This window comes from Homo sapiens, chromosome 2 (genome assembly GCF_000001405.40).
Source record: "Homo sapiens chromosome 2, GRCh38.p14 Primary Assembly".
In the NCBI taxonomy this organism is placed as follows: Eukaryota; Metazoa; Chordata; class Mammalia; order Primates; family Hominidae; genus Homo; species Homo sapiens.
This window is the reverse complement of record NC_000002.12, coordinates 36614803-36631437: the sequence shown is the minus strand read 5'-3', so window position 1 is coordinate 36631437 and position 16635 is coordinate 36614803. Positions and strand designations below refer to the sequence as shown.

The window sequence follows — 16635 nt, the reverse complement described above, 5'->3', positions numbered from 1 at the left end:
CAGAGACAAAAGATCTCTCAGCAAGGCCATCTTTACTTTCTGCAGAAAGGGTGCTCAATCACAGATGGAACAATGGCAAAAGCACACTTGAACAAAGGAAAAGCAGACATATTTATCCGCCACGCATTTGGGTCATCCTTATTGCTATGTCCTGCGTCCATTGGCTGGAGCAGGACCTCACAATGTTAAACTGATACCCAATTTGCTAATAACCTGAAACATTCCTAAATAGGTAAGTGCAAGGAAGAACAAAGAAGTTGCTTACGAAAGGTTTAAGGAAGCAATAATATTTCCAAATAAGGAAGGGACATAGGCTGTGAGCTGGAATGTGTCTGTGAGCATGTCCAACAGTTACACAGACTAGGGCTTAACAAAGAGTTATTAGCACAAAGCAAGGAGACTTGAAGAAAGTTAGTCTTTAAAAGAAACTGTTACTTCTAACACTTACAATTTATTCTTTAACAAGAAGGGGAAGTTTGAAGAGGAAACTTTTTACTTTCTACAGGGACTCAGAATTTGGTGTGAAAATGGGATCCCCTTGATTTTGCGGGAATCTGTTGTGTCTCCCAGCTGTACCTGTGTATTAGGCCGTAGATACTGCATGCTCTCTTGGCCTTGTTCCTTAAAAGCCTCCACCTTAACGCCAGTAATCCAGTTAAGAAACTTACATCTTTAAGGAAATCTCCCTGTATAAGGGTGTCTGCTTCTCCTAGCCATCCTAATTGAACTTTTACTCATACCATGCTTCTTTGGTTTGAGTAAAATATGAATCCTCTATCTTGTTTTACCTAAGACTTGTCCCTTTAGAAATGCAAATTTAGAGCTGCCTAGCCAACAATTGTTTAGGGCAACAAGTAAATAGGTAATCAAAAGACTGGTGGTCTAAAGTGGGAAAGAAAAACCTAAAAACTGGCAAATGAAGAATCTTATAACTCTACCAAATCTGCTTCTGTCTGTCTGTGTATTTATATATGTCATGTGTGTGATGTTTCACTACCAAAATATATAAAGGAGCTCTAATTAATTGGCTTAAAAAGATAAGTGCTTAAACCAAATATTTTGTCAGAAAAATGGAAATTTGAATGCCTTTTAGTTCATATAATTTTAATAATCTTTGGTAAATAAAGACAATTTTTTAAGATAATTGGTAAAATATAATAAAAATGTCTTCAGAATTTAGACACTTGGTCTGAATTAGGCAGTTCGGATACTGTCTTTGCTAGATGTTTTAAGGTCATAAACTACTTCTGTGACATATTTTGATAATTGTTGGACTTGTCTGTTTTCCAGCCATTAGATTTTAGGTAAGGCCTGGGGCATGTGGAGTTAGCCATGTCCCCCCACTGTGCTAGGAAGAGTCAGACGTTGTTGGCAGCTCTATCCTTGTCCTGGGCTCTGCATCTGACACATGGTTAAAATTGCTTACTTACAAGGTTTTTCACTAAAAATAAATGTTGCTAAGAGTTAACATTGTAACATATGTAATGGAGAAGTTCACAAAAAGAGTCAAACTCTGTAAAATATTTGGAGAGATTTATCTGGAGCCACATATGAGTGACCAATGGCCTGTGACATAGCCCTCAGGAGATCCTGAGAACATGTGCCCAAGGTGGTCAGGGTACAGCTTGGTTTTTATACATTTTAGCGAGACATGAGACACCAGTCAATACATGTAAGATGTACATTGGTTCAGTCAAGAAAGGTGGGACAACTGGAAGTGGGGGCTTCCAAATCATAGGCAGATTAAAATTTTCTGATTGGCAATTGGTTGAAAGAATTATTATCAATAGAAAGGAATGTCTGGGTTATGATAAAGAGTTGTGGAGACCAAGGTTTTATCACACAGATGAAGCCTCCAGGTAGCAGTCTTCAGAGAGAATAGATTGTAAATGGTTCTTTTTTTTTTTTTTTAAGATGGAGTCTTGCTGTGTCGCCCAGGTTGGAGTGCAGTGGCCTGATCTTGGCTCACTGCAAGCTGCGCCTCCCGGGTTCATGCCATTCTCCCGCCCCAGCCTCCCGAGTAGCTGGGACTACAGGCGCCCGCCACCACGCCTGGCTAATTTTTTGTATTTATAGTAGAGGCAGGGTTTCACGGTGTTAGCCAGGATGGTCTCGATCTCCTGACCTTGTGATCCGCCCACCTTGGCCTCCCAAAGTGCTGGGATTACAGGCGTGAGCCACCGCGCCCGGCCTGTAAATGATTCTTATCAAACTTAAAGAGTCTATTCTATAAGTAAGTCCAAAAGAGAGGATGGCATAATGAGGCATGTTCCAGCTCCCCCTGTCCATCATGGCCTCAAACTAGTTTTTCAGGCTGACTTTGAAATGACCTTGGCAGAGAGGAAGGGTCCATTCAGATGGTTGGGGGCCTTAGAACATTTTTTGGTTTTACAGAGACTATCAGAGAAACAGTTTTACATGCAAAGTATATAAGGAAAGTAAAAAGTGTTTTTGGTAAAAGATTATAAAAAGGAATGGGAATACGGTTTTTGTTAAAGGTGAAGTAATTTTGTCTAATGTAGAGGTTTTTAAGGATTATCTTAAGTTAAAAGAAGGATAGGACAAAACCAAAGATTTAAGCAAGTTGTAGAAGATTTGTGAAAGACTCATCTTGTAAAAGAAGTTCTGTGGATGTAAGCAAGTTGGCCAAAATGTAAAGGGAGCTATTTAGTTTTTCTTTAAATTAAACATTAAGATAAAAAGCACACTAATATAGGGTCAGAATCTGGGCCCGTGTGTCAGAATAACAGGATTTCCTTGGAACATTGATCTGCTCTTTAATAGAAAATTGTAAAGAGTTATAGAGGTTTATGGAAATCTTACCTTATGTCCAAATGGTCAAACTGATTAAGATTGAATAGATTTGTTTATAAGGTTTTATCAAAAATTGGACCGGCCTGGGCAACATAAGGAGATCTTGTTGCTACAAAAAAATGTAAAAACTTACCAGGCCTTGGTGGTGTTCACCTGTAATCTCAGCTGCTTGGGAGACCGAGATGAGAGGATCGCTTAAGCTCAGGAGTTAGAGGTTCCAGTGAGCTGTGATCATGCCACTGCACTCCAGCCTGGGTCACAGAGTGAGATGCTGTCTCAAAAAAAAAAAAAAAAAAGATGGGGGGCGGTGGTGCTTAACACTAATAATACATGAATGCAAAGGTAAAATTTGGTTTTCTCTTTTGAACACAATTTTTATGTAATATTGAGATGATGAAAGATTTTTATTTTTTATTTTTTATTTTTTTGCCTTTTGAGTACACTGCAGGTAAAAAGGAGAGAAAAGAGGGGAAAGAGAAGAGAGAGGTTCAGGTTCAGTTGACCTCATGCTGTCTTTATTGAGTCTTGTTGTTTGGAAAGCTGTCTCCTCTATCAAAGAGTAAAGGTTTTTTGCCTCTTTGAAATTTTTGAGTTATCACTTCAGCTAAATAACCTGTGATTCTATTTTGCGATATAAAGTGTTTTAAACCTTTGGTATTTGACAAACCTTCCAAAATCAAAATCTCAGGTTCTAAATTCAACCCTTTTGGCCTCATTAACCTTTTAGGTATTAGGCTCCCTGAAGTCCAAAAGGCACATTTGCCTTATTTGGTATGTGAAAATCACACAAAAAGCATTGTTAAGTATGAAATAGTGTTTGACTTTCTTTGGGTTATATTTGTATGAATGTGTTATTTGTGTGTGTTCCAGAATTGTAGTGAGACTCCTGTAAGTCTAATATGACTTTGTGTATTTTATCAACAATAATTATGATTATGTTAAATCATTGTATGCCACAAAAATAAAGAAATTTGCTTGTCAGTTGTATTTTTAACCACGATTGTTCTAAGATGCTTGTCGTCCACAATTGTTGTTTTACTTTGATCCTTCTCAAAAGGTGGTTTTATAATCAGCTATAGGACTTTGTTGCGTGCTCTTGAATGCAGGTTCCTGATAACTTTAGAAATTGTACTATTGGAATAGAGAAAAAAACTTCCAGTACTCTCATGGAAAGCTGATGTTTCCATAAGGATTGCTGATCCAGTATCAAGTAGAACAGTCCATTCACATGGACTGAATGAACAGAATACTGAAATAATCTTTTAATGACTTTTTGCTTAAAACTTTGCTGATTTTTTTGTTTTGCTTTTCAGAGTCAAGAAAACTTCTTTTCTTTTGAGTTATTTATAGCTTCTAACAATTGAGCAAAATGTAAAACATATTTCTTTCTCTCTGCCTAATTTCTCTAGAATTTGGAGTATTGTGAGTATTCTTAACTTATGGCAATATGGTTATTTACGTAAGTACAGTAAAAATCTGTTTTGTTAACAGGACACAATTCGAGACGCTGGTTATTTTACCAAGGCTTTGACTAGAATGACATGTTTTCAGACTACTTTTAGGAATGAATGTTGACTTATAGAGCTGATAAAAGGCCCTTGGAAGAACTGGCCTCATGTCTGGTCCTGAAAAGGGTTCCTAGCCTGTGGTAAGTAAAGAATGTCATTTTCTGACAGCCCAGGAACCCCAAGTTATTTTGGAATGTTGAGAAGAGGGGAATTCACCCAACCCACACAGATATTTGCGGGTACAGATAAATCCTTGGCTGAGCTCAAGAGGCTTTTCAAAAGTCTACTCTGATGTTCTGTATATTAAAAAAAAATTCAGCAAAGCCAAATTTTTGAAAAAGAGCCTATATGGCAAATAATTATTCTTGTGCACTTTATGCAAATAATTAGGCAAACTGTAATAAGACTGAAACTTATTTTGCAAATAAATTGATCCTGCTTTGATTTGTCTTTGGTAGAAATGAAAAATTGGAGAGAGAAAAATTATGCTTTAGAAAAATGATAGTATACCTCTTACTAGATTTCGGCCTCGTCTATTATTTTTGAGTCTCTGTTGATGACCTAATATCTGATTGGTTCTTGGATCATTCACCTGGATCCCTCAAAGCTTCAGATTAGTTCTATGGGAACTTCTGAAACTAGAACTTTCACTCTTATGTTTGGGCTCATCATTTGTCTTATAGTCTGCTGTTCTCTTAAGCGCTGTACTAAGCCTGTGTGGATAAGAATACTATTGCTTTTTGTTATGTAGACCTTGGGACTCCAACACAAAGTTATGTAGACAACTGCAAAGTGGTTTCATTCTTCTCACTCCAGACCCAACCCTGACCCCAACTATGCCCCTGTCAGCAGAAAAGTTAAACTGATTGTTGGCCTTTTCCCATCTCTGTAGCTCACACCTCAGGAATGAGGTATGCCGAAACCCAGGGTGGGAATTGAAACCGCCTTTGCAAAGGTTATAACAGTGAGAGAAATCTAACATGGCTGACTCCATCTTGCTTCTAGTCTCACAGGCTGACTGTCTTCTCTCAGTCCTGAGCATAGGCCAAACTAACCATGGGAGGAATTTAGTTTATGGCTTAACTTCAAAGCAAGGATGATAATAGTTCCTCCCTAAAACTGATCCCCTTTTTTTGTAAGACTAATAAAAGGTCACAAGATTAGGATTATAAGAGGGGCCTGAATTCTGCTAAAACGTAGGCATAGTTTCTTTTTTTTTTTTTTTATTATACTTTAAGTTTTAGGGTACATGTGCACAATGTGCAGGTTAGTTACATATGTATACATGTGCCATGCTGGTGCGCTGCACCCACTAACTCGTCATCTAGCATTAGGTGTATCTCCCGATGCTACGTAGGTATAGTTTCTATATCCCTTACTGCTTGCTCAGGAGTCATGTGGCCAGAGGTCACAAGATTTGTGACTTCCCCAATTGTTTCTATAAATAATATCATTATTGGGTTTTTGAGAGGTGTTTCAGACTGACCCTACCTGGACTTGTGACTCATGTCTCCACTGGCCCTGTAGTCCCCTACCCAGGGGCAAACTCAGTACATGAGGACTGTTTTCCACACCTCTATGATTGCATCACCAACCTATCAGCAGCACACATTCCCTAGTCCCCTGCTCACCAAGCTGTCCTTGAGAAACCCTAACCTTTCAGCCCTTGGGGAGACTGATTTGATTGATAGCTCCAGTTCTTCTGTGTGGCTGGCTTCGTGTTAAACTCTTTCTTTACTGCAATACCACAGTTTTAGTGGACTGGTTTTGTCTGTGCAGTGGTCATGAAGAACCTTTGGGCGATTATGATCTTCACCATAAAGAATACATTTGATATCATTTAAAAATTACCTTCCAGCTGGGCACAGTGGCTCACGCCTGTAATCCCAGCACTTTGGGAGGGCGAGGTGGGCAGATCATGAGGTCAGGAGTTCGAGACCAGCCTGGCCAATATGGTGAAACCTTGTCTCTACTAAAAATACAAAATTAGCTGGGCATGGTGGCGTGCGCCTGCAATCCCAGCTACTTGGGAGGCTGAGGCAGAAGAATCAATTGAACCCGGGAGGTAGAGGTTGCAGTGAGCTGGGATCACGCCACTGCACTTCAGCATAGGTGACAGAGTGAGACTCTGTCTCAAAAAAAAAAAAAATACCTTCCAACTTGATAGGTACTGTATAGCTCATTGTTTCAAGGCTTTTTGCTTTAGCATACATCAAGATTTATTTAAAAACTATAGTAATTAATATAGTGTGACATTTATACAGGGCTGGACAAATAGATGGAACAGAATAGAGTCCAGAAGCACAACCTATATGTAAGGTCATATAATTCATGAGAATAAGACATCACAAAAAGGCGGAGAATGAACAGCCTTATTGACTGTGCTGAGATAACTGACTCCATGTGGGAAAAAAAAGAAAGAAATTTGAGCCTATCTCATACCATACATAAAAATCCATTGCAGATAGATAGCAGATCACTACTAATAATAGAAAAACTGTTAAGCTTTTAGTAGATAATATTTCCATGATCTCTTTTATTTGTATTTCTGTGTTTACTATTTTTTTTTATTAGATATAGTCTCACTCTGTCACCCAGATTGGAGTGGACTGGTGAAATCGTAGCTCACTGAAGCCTTGAATTCCTGGGCTCAAGTGCTCCTCCCACCTCAGCCTTCCAAGTAGCTGGGACTACAGGTGCATGCCACAATGCCTTATTAGTTTTTTTAAAAAACTTTTGTAGAGACAGGGTCTCGCTTTGTTGCCCAGGCTGGTCTCAAACTCCTGGGCTAAAGTGATTCTCCCATCTCAGCTTCCTAAAATGCTGGGATTATAGGCATGAGCCACCATATCTTGCCCTTTGTTTACTATTTAGACTGAACTTTTAAAATGTTTATTAGCCATTTGTTCTTTCATAAATTGATTATTCATGATCCTCACTTATTTTACAGCTATCTCTATTTTTCACTGATTTATAAAATATCTTTATACATTAGGGATTTTCATCTTTTGTCTCTTATTTATGTTTCAAATATAATCCCAGTGTGTTATTACATTTTTAAACTTTTTTTAACTTTTATGTTCAGGGGTACATGTGCAGGTTTGTTAGGTAGGTAAACTGTGTGTCACGGGGATTTGCTGTACAGATTATTTCATCATCTAGGTAATAAGCAAAGTACCTGATTTTTTACTGATCCTCTGCCTCCTTCCATGAACATTTTTTAATACTAAATCAGTTCTACTAATCATTTACTACATAAATCAGTTCTACTAATCATTTAGTATATAATTTCTGTTTTGAGATTTTATTCTAAAGACCTAATTAAGGTTTAAAATTTTCCTCCATAAAATATTGTTTTAACCTAGAGCTATGTAGGGTTTAACAGATAATGAAATTAGAGATACATGGCTTCTTAAAATGTTTTTATTATTTCTTCTATTTATATCTTTTCTTATCTGGTAACAAAGGGCTGTCCAAGGGGCAAAGAGGATGGTACAGAATTACCTCACTTTAGTGAAGTAAGATGCTCCCCATGGAATCAGGGCGGCTCTCCTGGCCAATGAGCCCTGCACACAATTCCAGTGAAAAGAGGTCCCTGAAGCTGCTCTGCCGTGGGTGTAGTTGTGCCATGAGAAGTAACGACTAGAAGCTCAGACCTCCACTAGCAGCAGTCTTGCCTTCCTTCTTTGTCAGTGTAGCCACCTCCCTTATCTCTATGTTCTAGACCTGCTGTCTCAAAAATTGGTTTTTGATTAGTATACAGATGCTTCTCCGGGCACTACCTCACATTTCAAGTTATGCTTGACATTTTTAGCTAATGCCCTTTTCTGCCTTTTTTTTAGGTGGTTTAAGGAGACGAAATTATGTGTTGAATGAATATATATCTAGCATGTATAAAATTTTAAATGTTATAAATTTATAAAATTTTATACATTCTAGATACATATCACTGGAGGATGAGCCATTTTTTCTGTTGTGTTGCTTTTCTTTGCTTTATTTTTATTCGTATTAATTTCTTATTTATTATTTTATTTAAGAAATTACATTTTCATCTCCAAAACAGAAGATCATTGATCCATCTTTTCTGTTAGTTTGTATATAGAAGCTTTCACTCTGAGTGGGGAACAGTAGTTGGGCTGAAGAAAAATCTTGGAGCAAACAGCAGAATGGTGTACCATAAATAGCATATTTGCCTCTTGTTCCTTTCCTGCAGGCTTTTCTTCTTTCATTATGAGAAGCATAATTTTTCTATAGTCTGTTCCACTTCATTTCCCTCCCAGAGACTATTTTATGCGCTCAGGAATAAAAGAAGATGCTGGAGAGGGTGTCCATGGTTTTACACTTTCCAGTGGCAAATACCACCACTTCCTCAGCTCTGTCCCTCCAGTCCAGGGACTGGCAATTTTTTTTCCTGTAAAAGACCAGATAATAAATCTTTTAGAATTTGTGGGGAGTACAGTCTCTGTCTCAGCTACTGACATCTGCTGTTGTCATGGACAGTAGTCAAGGCATGGTGTAAACTAATGAGCATGTTCCAATACATCTTTATTTACAAAACCCATAAAAGCTGTAGATCCTGCTCTAGTCTCAGTGCTGCAGGAGAGGGTAACTGGCAAGCATGGTTTGTAAACCCTTCAATTTTTGTGACTTACTTTTGTGTAAGAAAGGCATGCCAACCAGTTTGAACCTCACCAGTTTATTTAGTTTGGATATTAGTTATTGCTGTTAGGTGAGGCAGCTGTGATTGGTGTCATCTACACCTTTTTTCTCTTCCTTATTAAGTCAGGTCACCGTCATTCAAGTCTGTGGGTCGTTTCTGTGGTGGTGGTAACTGCAGTGCCATTTTGTCTGAGAGGTGAACTGGAGAGCAGTCATGAAGTAGGTCAAAGGCCTCGCCTGGGAAGCCATTGATTGCTTCAGCCCACAGACAGAATGTTCATTATCACAGATTGAGGTTGTCAGATTTCAAATACCTCAGAAATAAGTCTGTTCTCCTGATGTTTTTTGGAAAAGCACCAGTCATTTCCTAACATACTGTGATAGCTAGTTCCATTCCCTTTTTTAAGTGCTGTACATTAGTACTGTATAATTCCCATTTCATTTTTCAGAAAAGAAATACAGTACACTGCTGCTGCTTCATTTGACCTTTTGTATCCATAGGTCAAAGCACATTATAAGAATGCCTGGATTCTTTCATAATTTAGATTATTGTCACTCTTAACCTTTTTAATATACACCTAGTTGGGAAGGGGCATACATATTACCTAAGCATGCCAAGTTGTTGTTTTTTAAAAAAAATCATTTTATAGTGTAAGAATTAGATTCAAAATCAATGTCACATTAATTACACTTAAATCTTTTAATCTCTTATTTATGGATCATAATGGCTGCTCAATAATGTTTGGAGGTGAGGAGTGGGTCAAATAGGTTTGAGAAAATGCTAGAAAATATAAGATTAAGAAGGTAAATTTTTTAAAAATCTGATCTCCATGATCCTTTTAAAGTTCTTTCTTCCCCTAAGTGTTTCAGAGAGCAAATTAGTGAATAGCCTCTACACACCTTCTATTCCTTCCTTCCCTCCCTTCCTCCTTTCCTTTTGCTTTCCAAAAATCCAATTTTAATGGCTCACAGTAGTAATAGAATAAAATAAATATTAACTTTATTCTCATTTCAGAGAATTGATATTAAAAGGTACTAGACTGACACTAGGAATCCCATTCTAGCTTCATGCTTTGAAATCTTGCTTATGTCCACTATGTTAGGGTCTTTCATTTGCCTAGACTTGTCATCGAGAAAGTTCAGAGAAACATCAGAAATACTGAAGGGTCTATTCTCTTGGAGAATTAGGTGTGTACAGAGCATGTTTATTAACTGGACACCTGGTTCAGGGTCACTACACCCAAGCCTGAGCTGGGATTCCAGCAGGTCTAGCCAATTGAGCTCACCTAGAGGGTATCTGCACGATATTCTGAGGTATCTCCTGGAAGAAAACTCATCCTGAGGGTAGACAGAGCCAGGACTCTTAAGTGATAGGGAAGGCATGTCTCTGAGTAAAAAGAAATATCTATAATTCAAAGTATTTCTAACCCAATCACATAGATTCATATCTGGCTGTAGGGACTGGAAACTATTAAGATATAAAAAGTATAAAAACTTAAAAGTATAAAAGGTGTAAAAAACTCAAAGACTTACAATTTTCTAAGGCAAGGGGGTGCCATAGATGAGAATAAGAAAAGGCTGAAAGGGGTATTTCCTGCCACCTCCCCACAGATCTTTTTGTCCTTTTAGAGCTGTGCTGAGTAACAGGTCATTGTTCTCAATGGGAGTAACAGGGAATTGGCAGAGGCCATGGTGCTCATCAGAACGAGCAATAGCCCAGAGCTGCTACAGTGGCACACACTAGATATGATGGGGTTGTAGGGGAAGCACCTGTGGGGGCCTGGAAGCATGTGCAGTGTTCAGCCTCTCTTCTGGTACTTCTATCCTGGGACCCAGCATTTGTGTCCTGCAGATGTGCCACTGGTGGCTAGCAGAAGCTGAGTCCTTGGAAGGAACCCTAGTAGCCAGAAGAAGGAGAAGCTGAAAGGACTTAATTCTAAGCAGATGTGAGGTATCTCCCTGGGTGACGGTAAGGCCAGACGTAGTATGAGCTTACAGCCTGCATGAGCCACTGTCTTAGTCTGTTTTCTGTTGTTTACAATGGAATACCTGAAACTGGGTAATTTATGAAGGAAAGGAATTTACTCCTATAGTTATGGAGGCTGGGAAGTACAAGGTGGAGGGGGCACATCTGTTGAGAGACTTCTTGCTGGTAGGGACTCTTTGCAGAACACCAAGGTGGCACAAGGTATCACTTGGCGAGGGGACTTAGCATGTCAATATACTAGTTCAAGTCTCTTTTCCTCTACTTATAAAGCCATCAGTCCCACTCCCATGATAACCCACTAATTTTTTTTATTTTTTTTATTTTTTGAGATGGAGTCTCACTCTGTTGCCCAAGCTGGAGTGCAGTGATGCGATCTTGGCTCACTACAACCTCTGCCTCCCAGGTTCAAGCAATTCTCCTGCCTCAGCCTCCCGAGTAGCTGGGATTACAGGCACCTGCCACTATGTCCGGCTAATTTTTCTATTTTTAGTAGAGACGGGGGTTTCACCGTCTTGGTCAGGCTGGTCTCGAACTCCTGAGCTCAGGTGACCCACCAGCCTCAGCCTCCCAAAGTGCTGGGATTACAGGCATGAGCCACCGTGCCCAGCAGATAACCCACTAATTTTTTAATCCATGAATCCATGAGTGGATTAATCAATTCATAAGGTCAGAACCCTCAGGATCCAATCACTTTTAAAGTCCCCACCTCTGAATAATCCCACATTGAGGATTCATTCAAACCATAGCAGTCAGTTAGGGCAAGTGCATTAAAACATGAATTTTTATCATTAATGTAATTTGATCCAGGGAGTCCTGTGAAACCATGCTTTGTACTTAGGATGTGAAACCTAGAAATAATCAGGGTTGACAAAGAGCATAGATGTTGTCTATGCCAACCTCCATCCCAATGCAGGAATTCTTTCTCTAGAATCTTTGGAAGATCTGAGCCTAAATATGCTAATAAAGAGAAAGTCACAATCTTTAAAGGTCTATTACACTGATTGGGATAGGTCTATTTCTTCAGAAATTTTAGTACCTGCTCAAATACCCAAATATCAGAAATGCTAATCACATACTGTAGCCCAGCAGTCCCCAATATTTTTGGCAGCAGGGGCTGGTTTCATGGAAGACAATTTTTCCGTGGATGGCAGGGGAAGAGGAGGGGATAGTTGGGGATGAAACTGTTCCACCTCAAATCATCAGGCATTAGTTAGATTACCGTAAGGAATAGGCAACCTAGATCTCTCACATGCACAGTTCACAATAGGGTTCACACTCCTATGAGACTCTAATGCTATAGCTGATCTGACAGGAGGAGGAGCTCAGACAGTAATGCGGTAATGTTCACTCACCTGCCGCTCACCTCCTGCTGTGCAGCCCCAGTCCGTGGTCTGGGGGTTGGGGACCCCTGCTGTAGCCTATAATTAACTAGTAATGTAAAATGGGACCTACAAGAGAGAAAATGTGACTTCAGACATATTTATTTTCATATGTTTATCTGCACAAAACATATACGTTAATATACGTATGTTTATACACAAGCAAGTAGGATCTTATAACATAATTTAAGAGGAGTGCTATTTGTCCACTAACAGAAGCAGTATTCACTGAGATATTATTAGCTGTTGTAACAGATAAACCTCTGAATCCCAGTGTTTTAAGAATAAAAAGTTTATTTCTTGCTAACTGGAAGAATAAGAGTTCAAATTTAGTTTTCTTCCAAGCAGTGGATCAGAGACCTAACTTCCTTTCATTGTGTGGCTCTGCCATGTTTGACAGTGGCTTGTAAGGTCACTGTGCTCATGTGCATTAAGCCAGTGAAAAGGGAAGAAATAGGTGAGCAATTGTGGGAGGTTTTCATGGCTTAAGTCTGGAAGGGCTGTACATTGCTTCCATCATCTGCATTCCATTGGCTAGAACTCATTCACGTGACCACATGGAGCTGCAAGGGTGCCTGGGAAATGTAGTCCAGCTGTGTGGCCCAGAAGAAGACTGGTTGAGAGGTGGGCTAGCTTCTCACACAAGTATCCTTGTTTGGCTTTAATAACATCTCCCCACAAAACACTGAAGTATAAGTCAGTCTTGTGTAGTTTTAACTAAAGCCTTAAACATTGTATCTTCATGGATTATGAGAGAAGAAAAATTGCTCAGAGCATCCTGAGCTATGTGAGGTGCATAAAATTTATCAGGCCCCAAAAGACTCGAGTATAGGGCTTCTGTCAAACTCCACCACACACACACCCATGCCTACGGGGAATTGTTTAAAGTTGTTTGGTTCCTAACTAGTTGCCTCACCCATTATCTTCATGTTCCTGGAATTTGTGATACAAAGAACAGTATATAGCCAATCAATAATATGTTATTTTAATGTAAATTTTTGATAAACAAAATTTTTAAATGTTTCCTTTAAAAATTTACTTGTGGCTGGGTGGCGGTGGCTCACGCCTATAATCCCAGCACTTTGGGAGGCTGAGGTGGTCGGATCACCTGAGGTCGGGAGTTCAAGATCAGCCTGACCAACATGGAGAAGCCTGACCAACATGGAGAAACCCTGTCTCTACTAAAAATACAAACGTAGCCAGGCGTGGTGGCACATGCCTGTAATCCCAGCTACTCGGAAGGATAAGGCAGGAGAATTGCTTGAACCCAGGAGGTGGAGGTTGTGGTGAGCTGAGATCGTGTCATTGCACTCCAGCCTGGGCAACAAGAGTGAAACTCCATCTCAAAAAAAAAAAAAAAAAAAATGTACTTGTAACTGCTGCTAATCAGAGTGTATATTCATGGCACCTTGAATCTATGCTCCTGGGTTGCAGTCCTCAAACTTGGCCCAAGTAAACTCTCTGCTTTTGTTAATTTTGCCTCAGCATCTTCCTTTTAGGTCAACAATTACATACTTGGAAATAATGATAGGTGGCAGGCCAGGCCAAGCTCATTCCACCCAGCTTCTTAGCACAGCCCACTTGATGAGGGTCAGATTCAGAGTTTGTGGAGGCTGAAGCTTATGTAATTTGGTGGAATCTGCTTAAGAAAAACAATACAAAATTAGCTATTAAAGTAAATATTTAGAATGAGAAAAAATAACATGATATATCTTAAAAGGTAACAAGTATCACAAACAGTATACAATCTAGAAATACAACATAATATTTTTAAATTGTTACTTTTCTAACACATCTCTGCAATACTTTTGTAAACCAAAAATAAAATTCTAAGCCCCCCCAACCATCTGAATGGACCCCCTCCTCTTGGCCAAGGGCAATCTAAAGTTAACCTGAAAAACCAGTTTAGGCTATGATGGGAATCAAGAGACAGACATTCCTCATTATTTCCTCCTCCCTGTTGAAATTCAGGCCCAGCTGACCTGCATTAACATTAAAACAGATCTTAAGACTAACAAAGGAGACTCCATGTAGCAATAAGATAACAAATTCCAGCCTGACTCTAGTATAGCATCACATGACAGATGGCAGGCCCTGAAAGAAATTAATGTATTTTACCCCAAATTATGTTTCTTTACCATCTCTTAAAATAGTCCTGCAATGCTGTCTCTTGTGGGGAAAATCTACATTCTGAAGAGAAACCCCTTCCTTTTCTAGACCTTTTTCCTGATCCAGGAGAGAATCAACTCTGATAAGAAATATTACAACCTATTCTCTCTGAAGCCTGCTACCTGAAGGCTTCCTGTGCATAATGGGAATCTTGGTCTCTACAACCCCTTATCCTAACGCAGACATTCCCTTCTACTGATTCTATCTGCATAATAGGAACCCTGGTCTCCACAACCCCTTACCTTTTTTTTTTTTTTTTTTGAGACAGAGTCTTGCTCATCTACCCAGGCCGGAGTGCAATGGCGTGATCTCGGCTCACTGCAACCACCATCTCCCGGGTTCAAGCGATTCTCCCGTCTCAGTCACCCAAGTAGCTGGGATTACAGGCACCTGCCATCATACCTGGCTAATTTTTATATTTTAGTAGAGACGGGGTTTCACCATGTTGGCCAGGCTGGCTGGTCTTGAACTCCTGACCTCAGGTGATCCATCCGCCTCAACCTCCCAAAGTGCTAGGATTACAGGCATGAGCCACTGCTCCCGGCTGACCCCTTATCTTAACCCAGACATTCCCTTCTATTGATTCTAAGTATTTAGACAATAACTTAACTCTTTCAACCTATTGCCAATCAGCAAATCTTTAAATCTACCTATGACCTGGAAGCCTCCCAGGCTTTGAGTTGTGCCTTTCCAGACTGAACCAATGTAGCTCTTACATGTATTGATTGATGTCTATGTCTCCCTAAAATGTATAAAACCAAACTGTAGCCTGATCACCATGGGCACATGTTCTCAGGGTCTCCTGAGGGCTGTGTCATTAATCACTGGTCACTCATATGTGGCTCAGAATAAATCTCTTCAAATACTTTATAGAGTTTGACTTTGTTCATTGACACTTTCCCCTTACAATTTGGCTTTTACTCTTTTTTTTTCTTTCTTTATTTCTTTTTTTTTTTTTCTTGAGACAGGGTCTTACTCTGTCACCCAGGCTGGAGTACAGTGGTGCGATCTTGGCTCACACTGCAACCTCCATCTCCTGGACTCAAGTGATCCTGGCTTTTACTCTTGAATTGGCTCTTCACAGGACTGCAATTTTACAACATTGTTTTCCATAGACAATAGAAAACTCAGTCTTTCCTCTAACCTAGTTTTTCAAAATATTTTTCTTTGTTACTGATAGATTAGAAAAGTTTCAGGTTTATTGTTACCTGAAAAAAACCAGGGCTCATTTGCCTGGTGAGTAAAAAATGACTCTGCCAGAGAACACAGGTTTTGAGCTATAGGAGTTTTATTATTTGTCTCAAGTAAGGAGAACCCTGGGGGGATTCTCCAAAGCAGTGTCCCCAAAGGGGAAAGTGACAGGAGAGTTTTATGGGGCGATGGAGAGGGGAGAGAGTGCATCATCGCATGTAGGGGCGGGGTCCGAGTGGCGCAGATGCATGAGTCATGATGCTGGCACATATGTCACATGTTATGGTAATGACGCTATAGCCCCTGCTGGGGTGGAGATTTTAGCATGGTAATGGGGAAAGTTCACTTGGGTTCATCTATATGTTGCCAGGATCTGTCAGTGGCTGGTTCCAGCTGACCAAATTCCACACTGGGTTTGGGGAAAAACAGGCTGCAAGGCAGGAGGCTGTAAAACAGGCTGATTGCTCAATTTGATTAAATTCCCATAGTCCCTGGGGCTCCTCTGTCTGCTTACATTACGACTTTGTTAAAAAAAAGTTTAGTCTAAAGCTGCCTTTTTATATATTTTAAAGGTTTCCCTGTACCTAGTGAACTGTAGCCTAACTGGATGTGTGAACAGGCTGTAACCTACTCTTGTGCCTATCACTGAGTTTCAGCCAAAGGTGGGCACTGTTCAAAGTATGTTCAAATAAGGCAAACACTGAGCTGTAACCAATCTGGCTGTTTCTGTACTTCTGTTTTCTGTGTGTCCCTTTTCTTTTTTTGATCCACAAACCTTTTTTGACTGGGCCGTAGTGCTGGAGCCTCCCTGAACCTATTCTGGTCTGGGGGCTGCCGGATTTGCAAATCATTCTTTGTTCATTTAAGCTTTGTTACATTTAATGTGTCTAAGGGTTTACTTTTACAAAGTTGTAAGCCATATTGTCAG

General features: G+C 39.7%; 1 annotated feature.

Annotated features, from left to right (window-relative positions):
• Positions 12942 to 12991: an enhancer, noted in NCBI's record as "active region_15575". NCBI's record gives its function as "activates an Ori minimal core promoter by ATAC-STARR-seq in GM12878 lymphoblastoid cells {active_cell/tissue: GM12878}" and the evidence as "EXISTENCE:reporter gene assay evidence [ECO:0000049][PMID:35858748]".